The sequence below is a fragment of the Homo sapiens genome, chromosome 10, assembly GCF_000001405.40.
Source record: "Homo sapiens chromosome 10, GRCh38.p14 Primary Assembly".
Lineage (NCBI taxonomy): Eukaryota > Metazoa > Chordata > Mammalia > Primates > Hominidae > Homo > Homo sapiens.
The window spans coordinates 10,043,797-10,063,931 of NC_000010.11; the positions used below are offsets into that span (position 1 = coordinate 10,043,797).

A 20,135-nucleotide genomic window follows, 5' to 3' on the forward strand; every position below is an offset into this window, starting at 1 on the left:
TATGGGGTACATAATGTGTTTATACATAGAATGTACAGTGATCAGATCAGGGTAATTAGCACCATCATCTCTAACATTTATTTATATATTTTTTGTTTGGGAAACATTCAATATCCTCCTTCTAGTTATTCAAAACTATATGTTTTTGTTAGCCAGAGCCATCTGACAGTGTTATAGAACACTGTAACTTGTTCTTCCCAACTAATTATGTAAGCCAGACCTCCATTATAAAAGGGATGGTGGGTGTCCATGGTAAAATAATTGTGAGGAATTCTGGGTTAAAAGCACAGTTCACAAAAATAGGTTTCTGTGGACTTCTCAGAACTTTTCATATGCCCTCTCTCCAAGACCAGGTACAGCATAAAAGCATTACCAACATGGATTTGGACCATTGAAACTTTTTTTCCCAAAAAAACACCCATTAGTGTTTCAAGGTGCATTTTTAGTTCTACAGAACAAAGTTTAGAAAATATGAAAAAGGATTCATGGAAAATCACTCTTTGATTTCACTTCTATTTTCCATGAAATAATAAGTCAAAAGGTACAGGATCCCAGGTAGAAACTGGAAACAGTTCGTTTGTTGTGTTTCTTTTATTCTCTTCTCCATCATCTTGGTCTTCATTTGGGAGGAGGGGAGTAGATTCTTAAGTTATTTTTATTTTCTTTGGCTACATGGTTTTTCAAATTTATGTCTCATTAATTTAAAAATATCACTGTAGGGTTGCATTCTTGGAGAAGTTTAAAAGACAATACTTACCCGTTATTATTACAGGGACCCAAAGAGGTTACAGATGGAAATATCATGTGTATTACTTGTCAATGATCATCCTAAAATGAAATCCTAGCACAAAAGCAAACAACCAAATTTAACTCTTTTTTAGTAAACCTAGCAGATCATAATAGGAGGAAACTGGATCAGTATGATTTTTCTTTTCCTTTGCATTTCTTATATCCCATGGCCCTACACACACAGACACACACACGTGTACGCACGCATGCACGCGCACACACACACACACATTTCCTACATACTTTGTCTAGGCTTTGCCATATGCTGGATGAAGACTTTCATGTCCCATCTCATTTGACAGATACAGCTGAATGTTGTTATTCATGTGTTTGTTTGTTTTAAATTCTACCATATTGTTTCTTATCTCTTTTGTAAGTCAGAAAACATGAGACTAACTACATCAAAGAATATTGCCCTAAACCTCCATAAATATCTGTTCCGCTGAACACTGGAGCTACAACAAATTGATTTTACTTCCGCAGGTCTCTCTTTAAAATGTGACTGGTTGGGTGCCCCTGGGACTCTTTGCATGTTACAGAAGACTGCTCATGCTCAAGATACAGCAAAATGTTGCCTTTTAGTTAGACAGAAGACAGCTGTGCTGGGCTCAGTTGTGCTGTGCTGTGCTGTGCTGAGCTGGACCAGGCTGGGCTGAGCTGTTCCTGGGAGAGTGAAAGTGAGTGATGCTTCCTTGCATCCTGCACTTAGGTAGGCATCTGCATGTTTTCTGTTTGTCCATAATGGTTTTGCTTTATCAGGTAACTGGCATTGTGCACAATGCCATTGTGTACAGATTATAACAGGATCCACAGATATAAAGTATCTGCAAGCTCTTGATGTAAGTCATTAGAGGAACAAGGCCTGCAAGTGATGTGACGGTGTAGGTGCCCCCACCATGCCGGCATCCATCACAGGGACAGGCAGCAGCTGGCTTCTGCAGATCTTCTTCCCAGAGAGCTGGGCAAGGGCCCATCTCCAACTGTCAGAGGTCAGGTAGACATCTGTGCTCACAGTTCAGTGTGGCCCTAAAATATCATCTTCTTTGTTAATTTGAGTATTGCCAGTTGTTCTTGTTTTTGGTATGGTTTCTAATGCAAAAGTGTGATATAATTTTGGGGTCTATAAGTTACTTACATCTGACAGTATATGAAAACTGAAAGTGACCAAATCCAGAAATAGTTTGAACAAAGTCATCAAAGCTCCCAACTCCCTGTTCTGCAAACTGAAGAAATCATCAGTTTTATTAGTGTCTGAGTCACTTTCATCAGACAAAGAGCTGTTTCTAGTTTTGTTTTGTCTAGAGTCAAGACTGGTTTCCAAAGCAGTGAAAAAAGGGATCATTTGCTGTTTATTTTTTTTTAAAGTAAGCACACCCAGAATTCTCTTTAAAAATCTTTTTGGGCCGGGCGTGGTGACTCCTGCCTGTAATCCCAGCACTTTGGGAGGCTGAGACCGGCAGATCACCTGAGGTCAGGAGTGCAAGACCAGCCTGGCCAACATGGAGAAACCCCATCTCTACTACAAATACAAAATTAGCCGGGTGTGGTGGCGCATGCCTGTAATCTTAGCTACTCCGGAGGCTGAGGTAGGAGAATCACTTGAACCTGGGAGGCGGAGGTTGTGGTGAGCCGAGATTGTGCCGTTGCACTCCAGCTTCGGTAATAAGAGTGAAGAGCAAAACTCCATCTCAAAAATAAAAAAAAAAAACTTTATTATTTTTTTAAATTTTAGGTTCGGGGTATATATGAAGTGTTGTTACATAACTAAACATGCGTCACAGGGGTTTGTTGTACATATTATTTCATTGCCCAGGTATGAAGCCCATTACCCAAAAGTTATGTTTTCTGCTCCTCCCCTTCCTGCCTCCAAAGTAGACCCCAGTGTGTGTTGTTTCCTTCTTTGTGTTCATAAGTTCTTATCATTTGGCTCTCATTTATAATTGAGAACACATGGCTTTTTTTTTGTTTTCTGTTCCTGCGTTAGTTTGCTAAGGTTAATGGCTTCCAGCTCCACCCATATTCCTGCAAAAGACATGATCTTATTCTTTCTTATGGCTGCATAGTATTCCATCATGTATATGTACCACATGTTCTTTATAAAATCTGTCATTGATGGGCATTTAGGTTGATTCCACATCTTTGCTATTGTGAATAGTGCTTCAGTGAACATTCGTGTGCATGTGTCTTTATGACAGTGTGCATATGCAGAGCTCTTCTTAGTTTAACAAATATATGAGTGATAAATGTCAGAAAAGAAAACATTACACATCATCTATCTAATTCTAATCAGTGATGCCATGTTTATTTAAACATCCCATTGAAATTTAGTCCAATTCCAGGAGAAGTTGTGAGAAGCCAGGGACTATAAGATGAATGGATGGGGAAAAGTCTCAAAGCAAGAGGTGGTCAGAGAACAAGAGAGTGGCAGTTGGTCTTTTGGGATGAGGGTAGGGTAATGGGAGATGTACGTACCATAGTCTACCATGGTTCATACATAACTAGTTCATAACTATTTATGAACTTGTATTTCTTTAATATTTTATCTATTCCTTTTTTTCCAAGAATAATAATGTTTGAAATTTCTGGAAATTATTTTACATATAGATTGGATCTCTATGGTTTCTTTCCTGTGTTGCTTATATTTTCTCCTTCTCCTTTCCCTTGAGTTCTTGGTGAGTTTTTAAAGTCTATCATTTACCCCCATAGTCATGTCCTCCACCTTTCGTTGTTAGTGGTACCTCTTCCAATTTTTAATTTGGCAGCTGTGTCCCTGTCTCCTAAATCTCCAAGGCGTTTTTCTTCTAGAAGATGACCTGAAGGAGTTTAATGGATATGTTTTCTCGACTTTCTTTAGATCGTGTCTCAGAATTAATTTAGGTTTTCTGCTTCATCCCAAATGTTCCTTTCAGAGAGCTGCTCTCCTCCTGTTAGTAGGCTGGCCCCTCGTTTTTGACCTACTTATCCTTTTATAGGCGTAATGGTTTTTATTGTCTTCCCACCCACTGGTAAGCACAGCTGGACTCATTTTCTGTTCAATATACACACTTCCCACAAAAAAAAAAAAATCCTCCTCTCGAGTCTTTATTCATTTCTGGCCTTTCTTCTGAGTGTTGCCACCTGGTTCCCAGTAAAATCCCAATAATTTCCTCCATGTTGTCCTCACCCACACCAGGAATCAATCCAACAGGGAGGCGGCAAGTCTATCACATGGAGGGGAAGGAAGCGTGGCCAGGCCTTGCAGCAGCTCAGCCCTGCTCAGAAGAGCTGGTCTCCTCTGCCATAGCTCACCATCCACCATCCTTCCCATAAAGGACACATTTGAGGAGGGTGGAGATTTCATCAATGTCACCTCTTTATATTTCCCTTTGGCCCTTTCTGCCTCTTTTACTACTTCCCATCTTTATCTAAGAGGCATGTTAAATTTCTGACATGCTGTAGTCATCATCTTTCTTAATTCCCAGTTTTCCTCTGGGACTATCAGTTGCAGGGAGGATTGGGGGCTGAGGAAGTGTTGGCTAAGTGCTGCCCAGAAGCACCTACTCCCTTGGAATCAGAGAGAGCACCCCATGCCTATTTCCCTCTCCTTCTTTAATTGCTCGTTTGTGGACTGAATGTTTTTGTACCCCTAGAATGCATACGTTGAAGGCCTAACCCCCAAGGTGATGGTGTTTGGAGATAGGGCCTTTGGAAGGTAATAAGATTCAGATGAGGTTATGAGGGTGAGGCCTCCATGATAAGAATAAGAAGAGACATGCGAGAGAGCTCCCTCTTTGCTATGTGAAAACATAACAGGAAGGCTGCTGTCTGTAAGTCAGGAGGAGAGCCCTCTTGTAACTCAGTTATGTGGGTACCCAGAATTTTGAACTTCCAGTCTCCAGAGCTATATGAAATTAAATTTCTGTTGCTTTTACCACTCAATTAATTAATTAATTAATTTTTTGAGACCGAGTTTCCCTCTTGTTGCCCAGGCTGGAGTGCAATATCACAATCTCGGCTTACCGCAACCTCCACCTCCCGGCTTCAAGAGATTCCCCTGCCTCAGCCTCCCGAGTAGCAGGAATTATAGGCACCCACCATCATGCTTGGCTAATTTTTGTATTTTTAGTAGAGATGGGATTCCACCATGTTGGCCTGGCTGATCTCAAACTCCTGACCTCATGATCTGCCTGCCTTAGCCTCCCAAAGTGTTGGAATTACAGGTGTGAGCCGCTGCCTGTTGTTATGGCTGTGTGAGCATTCTAAGACACACATCTTCTCCGTCTCTTTTTTAGCCTCTTAACACTATTTGCTAAGCCTCAAGTGTGCCTTTGACTCCATTCTAGGCAATGAACAAAGCAGGAAACAAAACAAAAATCCTTGCCCTCATGGAGAGCAAATTATAGGAGGGTGCTATGTGACATTAGATGGTTGCAGGCACTATAGAGAAAATAAAGTAGGGAGATGGAAATTCAGGGGAGGGGTTGTCATTTTAGTGCAGGCAAAAAAGAAAAGTTTTACTGACAGTGACTTTTGTACAGTGAAATGAAACAAGCGAAGGAATAAGGAGGAAGTCATGTGGATACCTGGGAACACGCTTTCTAGGAATGAGGAATAACAAATTCAAAGGCCCTGAAATAGAAACATGCTTGGTGTGTTCATGGAACAGCAGGGAGGCCATGGATGTGGAGTAGGGTGAGAGTAAGTAGTAAGAAACAATGGATTCAGAGAGGAAATTACCGCTAACCTAATTTCACCAAAGTATAGTAAATGGTGGTGTCTCTCTGCTCAAACCTTCAATATATTGCAATTGGTTGAAGAATAAATTTCAGATTCATTAACATGACATTTAAAGTCTTGCTCAAACTGGACTTTGCAATATGTTTAGTGTCACTTCTTCACCCTGGTTAATTTGTTGTTCACTCTGGTTACATTCACCATCTTCCCAGACAAACCTTAACTCTTTGTAACTTTCTCATAGCTCTCTTTACCTACTAAAGCTGGCTTCATCCTAAAGGTTCAGCTCAAATGCAACCCTCTGCTAGATGCTTTTCTTCAATGGCCCTGGGTAAATTTAATCCCTACCACCTCTACTCTTCCATAGATTTTATCTAAATTGTAACATGTATTTAATTATTACCTAACCTTTAAACAAATAGTTACATGGCTGTTTCTCCTGCTCAATCTTAAGATTCCTGTAGCCAGTGCCCATTATGCCTCTAATATGTTCATTTTTTTGACAAATAAAAAAGAACTGGCCGAGTGCAGTGGCTCACACCTGTAATCCCAGCACTGTGGGAGGCTCAGCCAGGAGACTTGCTTGAGGCTAGGGATTTGAGATCAGCCTGGCAACAAAGTGAGACTGCCTCTACAAAAAATGAAAAAAACAAAACAAAACAAAAAAAAAAAAACTACCTGGGCATGGTGGCACACTCCTGTAGTCCCAGCTACTTGGGAAGCTAAGGTGGGAGGATTGCTTGAGCCCAGGTGTCCAAGGCTTCAGTGAACTACGATTACCCCAATGCACTCCAGCCTGGGTGACAGAGTGAGACCCTGTCTCTAAAACAAACAAACAAAAAACACACACACAAAGCAAAACAAAAGCTAACTCAGAATCAATTACTCTTGTAATTTCCCAAAAAGAAAATAGACAACATTTGTTGCAGATTACTTAAATATTTATTTCCATAAGCAAAGTGTCTATAACCAGATGATATCTCAAGTTTCTTTTTATTATGCCAATGCTGCATTCCCACAGACAGTTTCAGATATGTGAAATACAACAGACTTGTTGGCTTTGGTGTTCAAGGTGATTCACACTGAATTGCATACTGGGAGTCCCTAAGGTTCTGCTGTCAACAAGAAGAAGTGTATTCATAGCCCCTTGTCTCTTAGAAGCTCAAATTTAAAAATCCATAACATACCAAACTATTTGAAATCCTCATGCTTTTTTTTTTTTTTTCATTTTTATTAGAGAGGTAGCTTTAGGAATCAGCATCTGAATCACTGTGACTGTGGATAACCTCAAAGGAATATTGTTCACAGTTGCCAGGTAACTAAGGATGCCAGTAGTTTAGATGGGCTGAAAATAATTGACACCTCCTATGGAAGTAAAGATACTTGAGGAAACACCTATCAACGTTCTGGAAGCAGCAACATTTCCGAAGAATTTCTGTTGCTCCCTCTTTTTTTTTTTTTGAAAATTCAAGGGCTTGCTCTGTCACCCAGGCTGTAGTGCAATGGTGCAATCACCGCTCACTGCAGTTTCAAACTCGTGGGCTCAAGCAATCCTCCCCTCAACCTCCCATGTAGTTGGGACCACAGGTGTGACCATCATGCCTGGTTCCCCCATTCTAACTACTCTGTACCAGGCATTGGCCTTGACAGCAAGATACTTGCAGACTATCTCACGCCTCTTAAAATGGGAAAAGTTCCATTTTTAAGGGATTTGGCAGTGAGAATAGCAAAAACGAAAACAACAAAACCAAAGGAAAAGTCTTGGTTTCTAGTTTTTCCCTTCAAAATCCACATCTTCCCAAAAACCAAGACATGAAAATCCTCCTAAGGAGTCTGGAAGAAGCCATGTGGCAAGTTGTCCATATCTACAAAATAGTTTCCAGGTAAGTCACAAGGCATGAGACTTTTTCCCACACAGTATGAATTTGTATTTTATGGTGATCCATTCTTCGCTATAGCATAAGCACAGCTTAAACCTTATTTATAAATACAACCAAAGAACGAGCTCTGTCTTGGAAAAGTGGGAATAGTTTTACAGTGATATTTGTCAAGAAGAGTCCAATACAAAAGGAAAATGAAGCTACAAAACAGAGCATTCTTGCATCACCCAATTTCCTTACAACACGTATGCACACACAATCTCACACACACACAGAATGCTGAGAGATGTCACAAAAATACTTTGAAATTCAACACTAGTAGAAAGAAATGTGTTGTCTCACATTTATTCGAAAGGTATTAGCTTTCTTTCTCAGCAAAATTGAACAAACAAGCTATTGACAAAATATTTTTTAAGAAGACAAAGCTTATTTCAAAAAACTCAAAAATTTCTAAAGTTTTGGTCTCTACTAAATATCTAAGATTAATGCCATTCATATAAAAATGAAAAAATTACCATTAAATATTGATAATTATGGTAAACTTGAGTTTGATTATTAATTTAGGGCTGAACGTGGGGAAGTCATATTTTTTTGAAAGTTTCGCATAATGTTTTTGGGTAGCCAATATAAATTAGGTTGAGCTTTGCAGAGGTAAAGCTCATCAAAAGCTACTGGAAGTAGCCAGCTATAAGGTAGGATGGAGGATACATCATGAGAGAACTTTTGAACTGAAAATCTGGCAACCTGAGATATAGCGTTGTCATACTCTTTCACCTCTCTGGGACTCATTTTTCTCTAAAAGGAGGTATTTGAACCAGGTATTTTCCACAATCTTCTCAGCTCTAGAAATGTTCTCTTCACATAATGAAGAGGGTAGTGTGGAAAACAATTATAACATGAGTAATGATCATTTAAGACAGGAGTTGTTAGAAACGCTTGTTCCAGCTGGATAGGGTGGCTCATGCCTGTAATCCCAGCATTTTGGGAGGCCAAGGTGGGAGGATTGCTTAAACTCAGGAGTTTGAGACCAAGCTTGACAACATAGTGAGACCCCATCTCTACATTTTTTTTTTAATTAGCCAGGCATGGTGGCATGCACCTATAGTACCAGCTACTCAGGAGGCTGAGGCAAGAGGATTGCTTGAGTCTAGGTGGTTGAGGCTACAGTGAGTAATGATTACACCACTGTACTCCAGCCGGGGCGACAGAGTGAGACCCTGTCTCAAACAAACAAAAAAAGAAAGAAAGAAATGCTTGATCCCTGGCCCCATCCTAGAGATACAGACTCGGAGACTCTGGGTAAGGTCCAGCAATCTGAGTTTAACAAGCTCTCCTGGGGAGGGTCCAGTGCACAGCAAATTGAGAACTTCTGATGGGAGGAACCTCCTTCAATCTTCAGCACTCACACTGCTCATACCACAATGGTGTGAAGTAAATGAGATTTGTGTTTTCTCTAGGGCAAGAAAGGAACAGCAGGCATAGGTGAGAGGGAGATGAGCCACTCAGGAGCCCCTGGGACACGAGAGCTCTGGACAACAGGGCTGGGCTGAGTAAAGGTTAGAGATCATTTAGCAAGAGGCTTATGATTGCTTCATGGCTTACAGTGTTCCTTGGTATTGAAAAAATAAATTGTTTTAATGCAGCACTGAAAGACTAGCTTTCAAAGTGCAGTCTGAGTACCTCTTGTAATCTTCTGGACTGGTCCCTGGGCAGACGTCCTAACACTCTTATATCTAGGCATTAAGAGTTTGTTCATATAGTTTTATGAGTAGCAGATCAGTCCCCCTGGTTTCCCACCTGAACCTAACCTGGGAAAAGGAGGACTTGGCTGCAAGGAGATGGTTAAGTATTCCTGCTACTACATACGTCAGATCACTTTATTATTTTAAAGTGTTGTTTCTTATGATATTAGAAGGCTATTTTTCAGTGACTGTTGATCTGATTGAGGAGTATTGGTTCCCCTTAGTGGGCTTCCCACTCTGTGATCAAGGCCAGAGGTAATGTACGTGTACTATGCCTGTTGTGAGTCAGCATGGCCCATGCCAAACCACGGTAACACTCCAACAGCACTGCTGTGGCTACAGTGGCCCTCGCATCTGCTGACGTCCTGTTCCCCTGTTGGGGCTTTTAGCAGGTCTTACAGGATCTTCTCGTGCCCATCCTTTTCCCATGGATCCACAGCGTCTTATTAGCCCGTCCACGTGTTCCACCAAACGCCTCTGAACTTCAAACCCCAGCTCACTTAATGGATCATGCTTCTTTCCTTGGTGTCTGATTATTTTGTCAGTGGCAAAGATTGAGTTCTGCAAATGGAATGAAGCCTCCTACAGGAGTGTTTTTTAAACCTATGCCATTTAAATTTACTTTGGGAAGAGCTGTCTGCACCTACAATATGTTCTTTCATATTTCTTGTCATATTCAGTTACTCTGGGCAAAACATGTTAATGTTTAGTTGTCCTGGGATTAGGAAAATAAAACGTAATATGGTCATCTCTTGGCTCAATGAGCCAAACTTGATGAGTATACCTGTGTATATATGTGTATGTGTTTCCTTTTGTCTTTGGATAAACAGCTAATGTTAAGGCAATTCAAGATAAAGATGTATTTTTGAGGAAGCTAAAGAGAGGAAAACTGTAATATCTTTTGTGAGCTACATTTACCCCAAGGCATTTATCATAAAATGCATTTCGTTTCTGATTACATCACTCTGGCAGCTGGTATGAGGAAGAAACCACGTTGGGAAATTGTCAAAAACGATCACAAGTTTATTTGGCTTCTATCAATTTTCTCTTTTTTCTTCTTCTGACCAGAAAACTCTTGTTTCAATTCCATTTGAATGTCAACAATAAAAAAAAAATAGCAAAGCCTTCATGAGCAAATGTTCAAACTTCAGGGGGAAAATAATCAAAGGACCAGTTATTCCTATGTACTTGCCTAAAGATGCATAATACTGTTTGATGTGCACATACAATTTAATATAACCTTTTACAAAGCTAAAATGATCAGAGCAAGAAAATTCACCACTTGAAATATTTGGGAAGAAAGTTTTATATTATCATTTCACTTGAAACTTTTCATAACCACGATATTCCTGGAAAATGTAGAAATAACACTGCTCCCATTTTGGTAGAAATAGATGTTTGGAAATGTCTTCCCAGTGTCTTTCATGTTGTAATAGGAAAGAAAAGGAGACAATCAGAGCTGTTTTTCTGTTTGCTAAAACAGCCTCCTAAATGTAATTTAAAGAAAATAAATATGACAAGTCTAGGTCATAAATCATTTCTAATGATCACTTTTATTTTCACAATGAGGGAACGGAGACACAGGTGGGCAACAAGTCATAGATGACCTTGTAAGCCAGTTGCACCAAACGATATGGAATCCCAAAGGCGTCTTCTTCCTGTGCTTCAGCTACTGGCTTGTATGAGCTTTTTATTTTCGTTATGTCTCAGCTACACATTTCTAGAGCATATAATAGCATGCAACCCAGCAGGGTTTGAATGTGATTAGACCCAAGTGAAGCACCATTAAAAACCAGAGACGTATTCGAATGACATGACATTTTGAATGAGTGCCAAACCCAGTGTGTTTGGCTTTGTGTGTGTACTTGCTTCCTTGATTGTTAAACCGATTTCTTTTCAGAAGAAAATGTGCTTTTCTGAAACAGCTAATAGGATGCTTCATAGGTCACATGCTATTTTCAGGACCAGAGAAGAGCAGTGTGTGTTATGGATGAAGTGAAAAACATCATTTCTGAGTCTCCCAGCCTCTGTAAGCTCAGGTCAAGTCATTATCTTTGATTTTACTTTTCAGTTGTTATTAAATTTTCTCTCGTTTTTTTCTGTGTTGACTGCCTTGCAGGTTTCTCCACCAATCAACCTTGATTGGGTCACCCACAATCTCTCTTTGAACTTTAAATGTGAAATAGGCTAATCAACCCAAGCCTTCTATTGCCTGTTGGGCTAGGACCTGGTTCTGTGATTTCAACTCACATCAATCATTTTAATGCAATAGATGTTTATGTGATACACAGAACCCCATGCCAGCCATGTTCAGAGTATGTCTTGGTCAAAAGCCCATATATTATATGTCCTCATAATGTAAATGTAAAAGAATGTGTAAGCATGTTTTTGCACACATTTGCTTTCTAGTTTAACATAATTAGTCGAGCTGAAGTGTTTAATGGTTGCACTATTATGGAAACTATTGACTAGACTATCTACAGTGTTAATTCTGACCATGCAATATATATAAAGCTTTCTCATATTACAGCCTGGCTTCATATAATTTATTTTCTTACTGCCAAAACATGGCTTTCACATTTACTATGAAAGACTTTAGGTAAGGAATGAGAGTGATTGAGTTAATTGTTATATTTACTATGGAGTTGTTACTTCAAACACATTGTGGTAGAGTCGAGCAAAACAGAATGTCCGTATGTGAATAATAGCACTACGATCATGGCACGTTAAGATTAGAATTAGGGGAAGGCAGCTAGCATTTGTTGATGACCTTTTATATTCCATGTGTTTGTAGGTTGCCTCTTTTCTGAGCTCTTCTGTCCAATATTCTCATTTTAGAGATACTGATAGTGGAATAAAGTGCATTAATTCATGCTTTTTTACCCATGAGTCAGGCGTGAAACTCCAGGACTCCAGATACAAGCCTAAGTGCCTGGTTCACTACTGTATTCTGCTTCATGTTATCTCTTTTGAAGAAAAGCCTAGTTGGGTTTCATATTTCAAAACTTTTTCTTGTGAAATCTCTCATCCACTTCATCTCTAATTGAAAATGCCTCGCTCTGGAAATCACAAACTTTTGTTGTTTGTTTGATTCAAAATAAATCAAAGTGACTTAATTTTGACCACTCACATGAAGACTGAAAACCTTTATAACCATCATGGAAATTACAGAAGGTAAAGGTAAATCTTTTACTTTTATGGGGCTGGCAATTACGTTTTTGCATGTGTTTAGCACATAGAATTCTTCTTGGTAAGTGTAAAATGCTGCATATGTACAGATAACTTGTCAGCTAAAAATGCTTAAGGCTCTAGTCTGCATTCCAACAGGATGTGTGTGAGCAGATGTTTATTTCAACACTTCATCAGTTGAGCCATCACTGTATATTAAAGAGTAAAAAGATAACAGCTGAAATGGATGAAGGAGTGAACAATGAAAGACACAATGTTACTCCGATTGCTTAGAAAATATAGGCAAAAAAGTTTATAGGAATGAATAAAAGAATGATGAATAGTGCCATCTTTTCATATAGGTGTTAACTCTGTGTTCTTCTTTGAAGAGTTGATTCTTTCAAAGACTTCTCTGAAAAGGTGGCATTGATCATCATCCTAAGAGGGACTAGCAGTAAAGAGGACCTAATTTTAGGATTTCAGGAATACCAGGGTACAAAAACTTCCTGGAAAGGAGAGATAGAACTGACTTGCCAGAGCAAAAGAAAAATCAACATTTACTCAGCGCCTCTATCTTATTGGTTATATGATAAGTAGTGTCATATGTGGCGTCTCATTTAATATCTAAAACTTTTTGGATTTTTCTTGTTTTTTTTTTTCCGTCTTTATGCAAATAATTGAAATTCAGAAAGTTTTGATAACTTACCCAAGTTCAGAAAGCTAATGAGTGTCATACTTAGGACTGAGCTCCAAGTGTGTGTATGATTCCTCATTCAGCTGCATCATGCCACCGTCACAAGACATTTTAGAGATGGTCTTATATAAGAACAAGAGGCAGGAAACTATCTTCTTAGAGCAACAAGTTAGATGGGAAGTACAGTTGCAACGAAAAAGCGATAGCTACTGTTACAGTCCAGCGATATTATAAATATGTAACACTGCACAGGCTGACATATCAGAACGGATGCTAACCTCAAACTATTGTAGAGAGGTACCAGAGCCTGCTTGCTAGCTACAGCCCCCTAGCCACATATCAGCCCTGTTAATAGTGCCTTTTAAGTGAATTCCCTCTCTTGACAGAGAGCACACCCTAGAGGCTCAGAATCATGTGCAATTCTCCCTTTCCAGAGCCTCTGATGATAAAATACCAGATGGCTTACATAACCAGATGTTTTCCTCATTGTCCTATTTTTCTGTTCACTGCTACTCGGTATACTTCTTGAATTTGTATTTCTTTATTTATCTCCATAAATATTGGCATTTTCTATACTTCCAGCCTCAGCCATCTTCAGTATTTTACCCAGCCATTCCCTTTAGAGGGTACTATTCTTTCCTAAGGAAAGGTGATCCTCAACTCTTCCAAGTCTTTGAAATAGGGTCTCACTCAGCTGCCCAGGCTAGAGGTCAGAGATGTGATCGTGGATCACTGCCACCTCCGCCTTCTGGCTTCAAGCGATTCCCCTGTCTCAGCCTCCCCAGTAGCTGGGATTACAGGCATGGGCCATCACGCCCAGCTAATTTTTGTATTTTTAGTAGAGACGAGGTTTTGCCATGTTGGCCAGGCTGGTCTTGAACTCCTGGCCTCAAGTGATCCTCTCACCTTGGACTCCCAAAGTGCTGGGATTACAGGCATGAGCCACCAGGCCCGGACACTTCCAAGTCTTTATTTATTAAACTAGTGGTACCCAGAACACTCGCCATTGCCCCTGCTTCTCCTGTATCACCCGCTGCTCAGATCGGCTTTTCACATCTCCCTGTCATCAGCAAGTTCTCTTTGGTCACCTTTCTCAAAGTATATACTGAAAGCTCTCTATCATTACTGTCAGAGCTTTGGACAATCTCTTGCTACACTAACATGGATAATTTCAGTAGCCTCCAAACAGATCTTGTTGTCTCTACTCTTGCACAGCTTAATCCATCTTCCACACAGCTACAGGAGCACTTTCTCCAAAGCACAGAAACTGCTCATCAGATACCCTTCCCACTTGCTAATATGAACCGTAACTGCCTAGAGGTGAGTTTGTTTCAGTCAGCTTTTTTCAATTCACTGGGAGAAAAATTAGCTTTAATACAAAAAGCTGTGCATAATGCTTTAGAATAGGCAAGGAAAGCAGTCTCTTTTAAAAGCATCTGTCAGATAAAATGCACCTTAGCAATGGCATAAAGAAAACATCTTGCCTGTAGAAGAAATTTATGAGGCAAGAAAAAAAAGATGAAAGGAGGAGCCTATTGCAGAAGTAAATTAGAAATCTAGGTAAAAGAAAAATATCAGGGCAGCACCTCCTAAATTAAACTTAATTGAAAGAGATTAAGCTGAATTAAAATTGATTAGGCCAAGCCTGGCATCATTATGAATTTTAATAATAATAATAATAATATTCATTGAACACCTAGTTGATATAGGGTAAGACACTGTCCCTTCCCCTGAGTTTATAATCCAAATTAGGGAGGGAGAGTGAGTTGGCTGAAAAAGTAAAAGCGAAATAGACTTCAAGGAAATGAGTTCTAATAGCACTGACTCCATTTGGAGAGTAGTTTAGTGTTGTAATGGGAGTAAGTAACCTCACAGAATGTTAGATTCTTTGTAATTATTTAAGGGAGGAATAAGGTTCTGGAACTTTAGCCAATACTGTAGTTACTGGTGAGGTAAAAAAGTGTCAGTCTGGGTGGAAAAGGAAACAAAAAATAAGGGAAAACAGTATGAGATATGGTAAACAAGGAAGAAAACTGCATTATTACTCCATTTAATGGAAAATAAGCGTTCAAAAAACATGTAGTTTCTTGTAGATCTTTGCAGTATCTTAATTTTCTAATCATTAATTCTATCATATAATTATACCTTGATTTTTTATTTTATTTTACTGCTGAAAAAGTCAATAGCTTATTGATTTTAGGTTTTAAAATTAAGTTTATTAATTTATTCTTTCAATAGTTGTTATTTGGAGGCATGATTTAAAAACAAGTTGAATTATTTTTCTTGTACCTCTTGTAAACACCTTAAAAAGTCTAATTCCAAACAATAGTTCTAAGAATATCTTGAGCAATGACAACAACTTCAAAATGAATGAGTAGCTTTTTAGAGTGTTACATTGAAAAAACTAAGCTTACTGTGCTTTATTATACAGCCACATTTTCAAAGATAAACATAGACTTCCCAGGGATAGTTTTTCCATTGCTAGTATCTGCCTCCTTCTCTTCAAAGATGCACATTACAACTAGCAAGGGTGAGGACGGTGTAGCTTCGTCTCCTTCCTCTCTCAGACGTATCGTAGAGAAGATGGATCTTTCCTTCCGCCATCTCTGCTAATTGATGATGTTTGAGCTCTTCCTTGGGGAAGACATCAGCAGTTCATTCACTGCAGTTGCCAATCATTGAATCAGGTAGAGTATGTTCCCCTCTTATAACGGGAAGCTTTCAGTAAATCAGATATGACGATGGGCATGACTTTGGAGGTATAAAGTGACCAACATTATGGTTCCATAGCAGGTATGCTTTCCTCTCTTCCCAAGAATAAAAGTGTGCTGCCCTACTCTCAGGAGATTCCCTGAAGGACTCAGAAGAAATGGACAGATTTAATCTAGTATAAAAAAGCATGTACCCATTTCCAACAAATATATCACTACTTCTCAGAGTAGGGAAATACTGTACATATCAAAAATGTGGTGCACCAATCAAAATTACATAAAATCAGTGATGTAAATCATAAACTTATGACTCTACTATCCCCAATGGTATAACGATTATAAAATATTTTTAGATTAAAAATAAGTACCAAAAGATAACATAGGAGACTATCTAGGGGACCTCAGATTTGGAAATGACTTTTTAGATGCAATAGCAAAAGCATGCTTCATGAAAGAGAAAATGAAGTTGGACTTTATTGAAATTAAAAACATCTGTTTCTGAAAGACACTGTTAAGAGAAAGAAAAGATAAGCCACAGGCTGGGAGAGAAAGACAATACTTGAATAACATGTATCTGATAAAGGACTTTGTTTCCAAAATCTACAACCAGCTCTTATAACTGAGCAATAGGAGAACAACCCAATTAGACATGGGCAAAAAATCTAAACAGACAACTCACCAAAGAAGATAGACAAATGTTAAATACACATATGAAAAGGTGCTCAACACTGTACATTCGTTAGAGATTGCAAATTAAAACCACAATGAGATACCACTACACTTATTAGAATGGCAAAAAAATCAAAACACTGACAACATCAAATGTGGGTGAGGATGTTGAGCAACAGAAACTGTCATTCACATCTAGTGGGAAAGCCAAATAGTGAAGCCACTGTCAAAAACAATCTGACAGCTGCTTACAAAGCCAAACATAGTTTTACTATACAACCCAGCAATTGTGCTCTTAGGTATTTACCCAAATGAATTGAAAATGTTATGTCCATAGAAATGCCTACACATAAAAGTTTATAGCAGGTTTATTCATAATTGCCAAAAATTGAAAGCAATCAAGATATCCTTCAATAGGTGAATAGGTGAATGGATAAACAAACTCTGGTACATCCATGCAATGGAATATTATTCAGAGATAAGAAGAAATGATCTATCAAACCACAAAAAGAGACAAAGGAACCTTAATTGTGTGTTACTAAGTTTAAGAAGCCAATGTGGAAAGGCTAAATGCTGTATGATTCCAGGTATATAACATTCCGGAAAAGACAAAGCTGTACAGATAGTAAAAAGATTGGTGTTTGCCAGGGTTATGGGGGAGAAGAGGGAAATACCTGGGGCACAGGCTATTTTTAGGGCAATGACACTGTTCTGTATGATGCTGTAATGGTGGATACAGGATATTTTGCATTTGGCAAAACCCACGGAATTGTACTACTACACAAAGAATGAAACCCAATGTCAACATGGACTTTAGTTAATAATAATATATCGATATAGTTTCCTCAGTTGTAACAAATATACCACACTAATGCAAGATGGGAATAATAGGGAAAAGTGAGGGTATGGGGGAGATGGGGTCTATGGAAATTCTTTGTACTTTACCCTCAATATTTCTGTAACTCTTAAACTATCCTAAAAATTAAAATCCATTAAAAACAAATAGAAAATACACTATCAGCTCCAACACATGGAAAACTCTAGTATTACCATGTCCAATATTTCTGAGAATTCCAAAGCCATCTAAATATCTGGGGTCCTCCTGCGCAATAAGTAGATGTAGGGTAGTGACACGTTCCCTAACATATGTTTCTGTAATTTAGTTTGGCGAAGAGCTTGTCTTTGTTTTGCTTTTTTTTTTTTTCAAGAAACAAGGTGTCACTTGATCTTTTGAATAGGTTCTTTTCAAATGTTCTTACCTACTGACTGTTAAAGTATTCAAGGCAAATGATGTTGCCATATTAATACAATTTATTTTGGTTAAAGCAGTTTGCCTTAAGCTGCTAACGCAGACTCAGTGCTCTGTGCAATTGATGGGTGAATGATCAATAGAACACCTAAGATTCTCATAAAATCCAGCCTCCAACACTGTGACAATGAGCCAGATTAAGAGAAAACTTCAGTTGGCTTTCTGTTGTCTCTCTTACAGACTGGCTTTCCAGGCATTCTAACTGAATTACAATAGACAAAAATTAGTTGACAAAGTCAGCAACGTAGACCATGTAAACCTCATGATTCCTTATAGTGAAATAAACAGTGAGGTAAGTACAGATAAACTTTAACATTTCAGTGAGTTAATAAACAAAAAGCCCTTTATTCATGTGAGAGTATAGTCATTGGTATGTGTTGAGAGAATGGATCCACACAGTCATTCAGGGAACCCAGGCTGATGAAGGTTTTGACATTTTCAATGGGTGGTTTCTATAGCAACACTATCTGTTGTTATCCATCCAAAGGATGATGAAAGAGAGAGAGAGAAAAAAAACAGCACGTGGAAAGTTTCTTGGTCCAGGTGTATATCACTTCTGTCTATACCCCATTGGCCAGAATTATTTGTTCACATGAACACACATAAGTACATGGGAGGGTGGGAAATATGGAGATTAAGGAAGTAGATGTGTTAAATATATATGATATATAATTATACATATGTATTCCAAGTACATACATCTCATTCATTCTATTCCAGAATTAATAGCTTGTGATGAGAAGACAGGACTGGAATAGAATTGAGGATGAAATAAATAAAATTTAATTAATTAAACAAGAGTAAATCTTTGCATGACAGCATGTCATGTGTTAAGGGATCTGATTAACACAACTCTTTGTAGCTGACATAAAACTACAATTTTTTTAAAAAAAGGAAAGCAAGTTAGTAAACCCACTAAAAATGGACAGATTTCTTTCTCAACTTGTTGAGGAGAGACATCATAGGATTCTTTCTATTATTTTAAGTTCCATCAAGTTTTTTCTCTCCCCGGAGAGCTAATTTCTTACTGCACTCTTGAGTCATGACAGATAATTAGAAAATCTGGTCAGGCTTTTGCGGTGCCATATTTCTGCAAGTTTTGTATTGTTATAAAATAGCTTCAGGGGAGACACACATACCAAAAAAAAAGGATAATAAGGGTGAGAGTACATTAGCCTAAAGTATAATTTTATTGTTTTCCATCTGTTGTAATTATGAAAATAAACTCATTGGTACTCTGATCAGCAGGATAAGTCATCAGAAAGATGCTTGTGTCTAGCAACATATCTTGTTACATGTTATAAATAAGAACATCTTATCTGTATGGCTTTTTTCCCCCTTAGGAGCAGAGCCATTGCAATCTTCCCACTAGAAGAGTCATATTTTTTCCCCCTCAAACCAACATAGCTCAAGGGAATAGTATTTGTTTCAACCAAATCATTACTGCATATGGGATTTAGATTTGCATTTGCACCTATTTCCAAGGTGACTGAAAAAGCGTTATTTTAAGAAAATAACAATTTAAAAATCATAGTTGGAAGGGTATGTTTTCTCTCCACTTATTGAGTAAGAATAATATGTGTGCTATTGAGTGTGTAGGAGTACCCAGTGAGCATTTGTCAACTAAGTTTTACAGTGACAAACCAACTGAGTCAAGAAAAATAGGCTCGATTCTTCCTCTCTCGCTCTCTTACTGCCTGAACTATGGAAAGCTTACTCTAAAGCATGCGCTGATTATTTTTAAATAGTAAGGGTGATTTCATTACCTTAAAGAGGACACGTGATTAACTGCCTTAACTCACTTCTTGTTTTCTCTAACTTCAGGAAGTGACATAACTGGCATTGATGATGGAAAAAATCAAAAGGAAGATTGTTTTCCTACAGCATCAATTTTATATTTTCCTAAAAAATACTGTGAAAGGTTAATGGCTACTTATCCATAAATATTGTCTTATATAATGTATTTTTCATTACTGGTAGAAGAAGGAAATCATAGAAACAAAAGAAAGTAAATTTTTAGATTTTAATAGGGACCAGTGATTCTCTCAATTCTTAAATATCTCTAGTCATCAGCCATATTTGAGAACCACTGCTCATGGTAACTCATTAATTTTAGAAATACAGGCCAGAGAGTGAAGTCATACAACTAGGGGCTGGCAGAGTGAGGACACGGTGAGAAAGTGGGCTTTTTTGGTTTTTGTTACCTCCCTCCATGACAACACACACACACACACACACACACACACACACACACACACACACACAATTATAAGAAGAAATGTGAGCGCAGGATCTTGTTGCTATCACTCATGATAATTCTAGTTGACATACAGGAACAAAGAGTGATAGGTTTTCTTCACCTTAACATGATGTGAAGGCCCTGCAAAGTAGTGAAATATCTTTCCTAATTTAAGGGATACTGAATGGACTCAACCACTAGCAGAAGGACATCCTAGCAGA

General features: G+C 38.5%; 1 long non-coding RNA gene across 1 annotated transcript; it reads left to right on the forward strand.

The window, feature by feature from the left end:
• The first annotated feature begins 14,925 nt into the window (after positions 1 to 14,925).
• On the forward strand, positions 14,926 to 19,706 carry LINC02670 (long intergenic non-protein coding RNA 2670). Its single transcript, NR_120636.1, has 4 exons — positions 14,926 to 15,002; positions 15,495 to 15,673; positions 17,856 to 17,967; positions 19,500 to 19,706. It is a non-coding gene; the product is annotated as a long intergenic non-protein coding RNA 2670 (long non-coding RNA).
• The last annotated feature ends 429 nt before the right edge of the window (positions 19,707 to 20,135 follow it).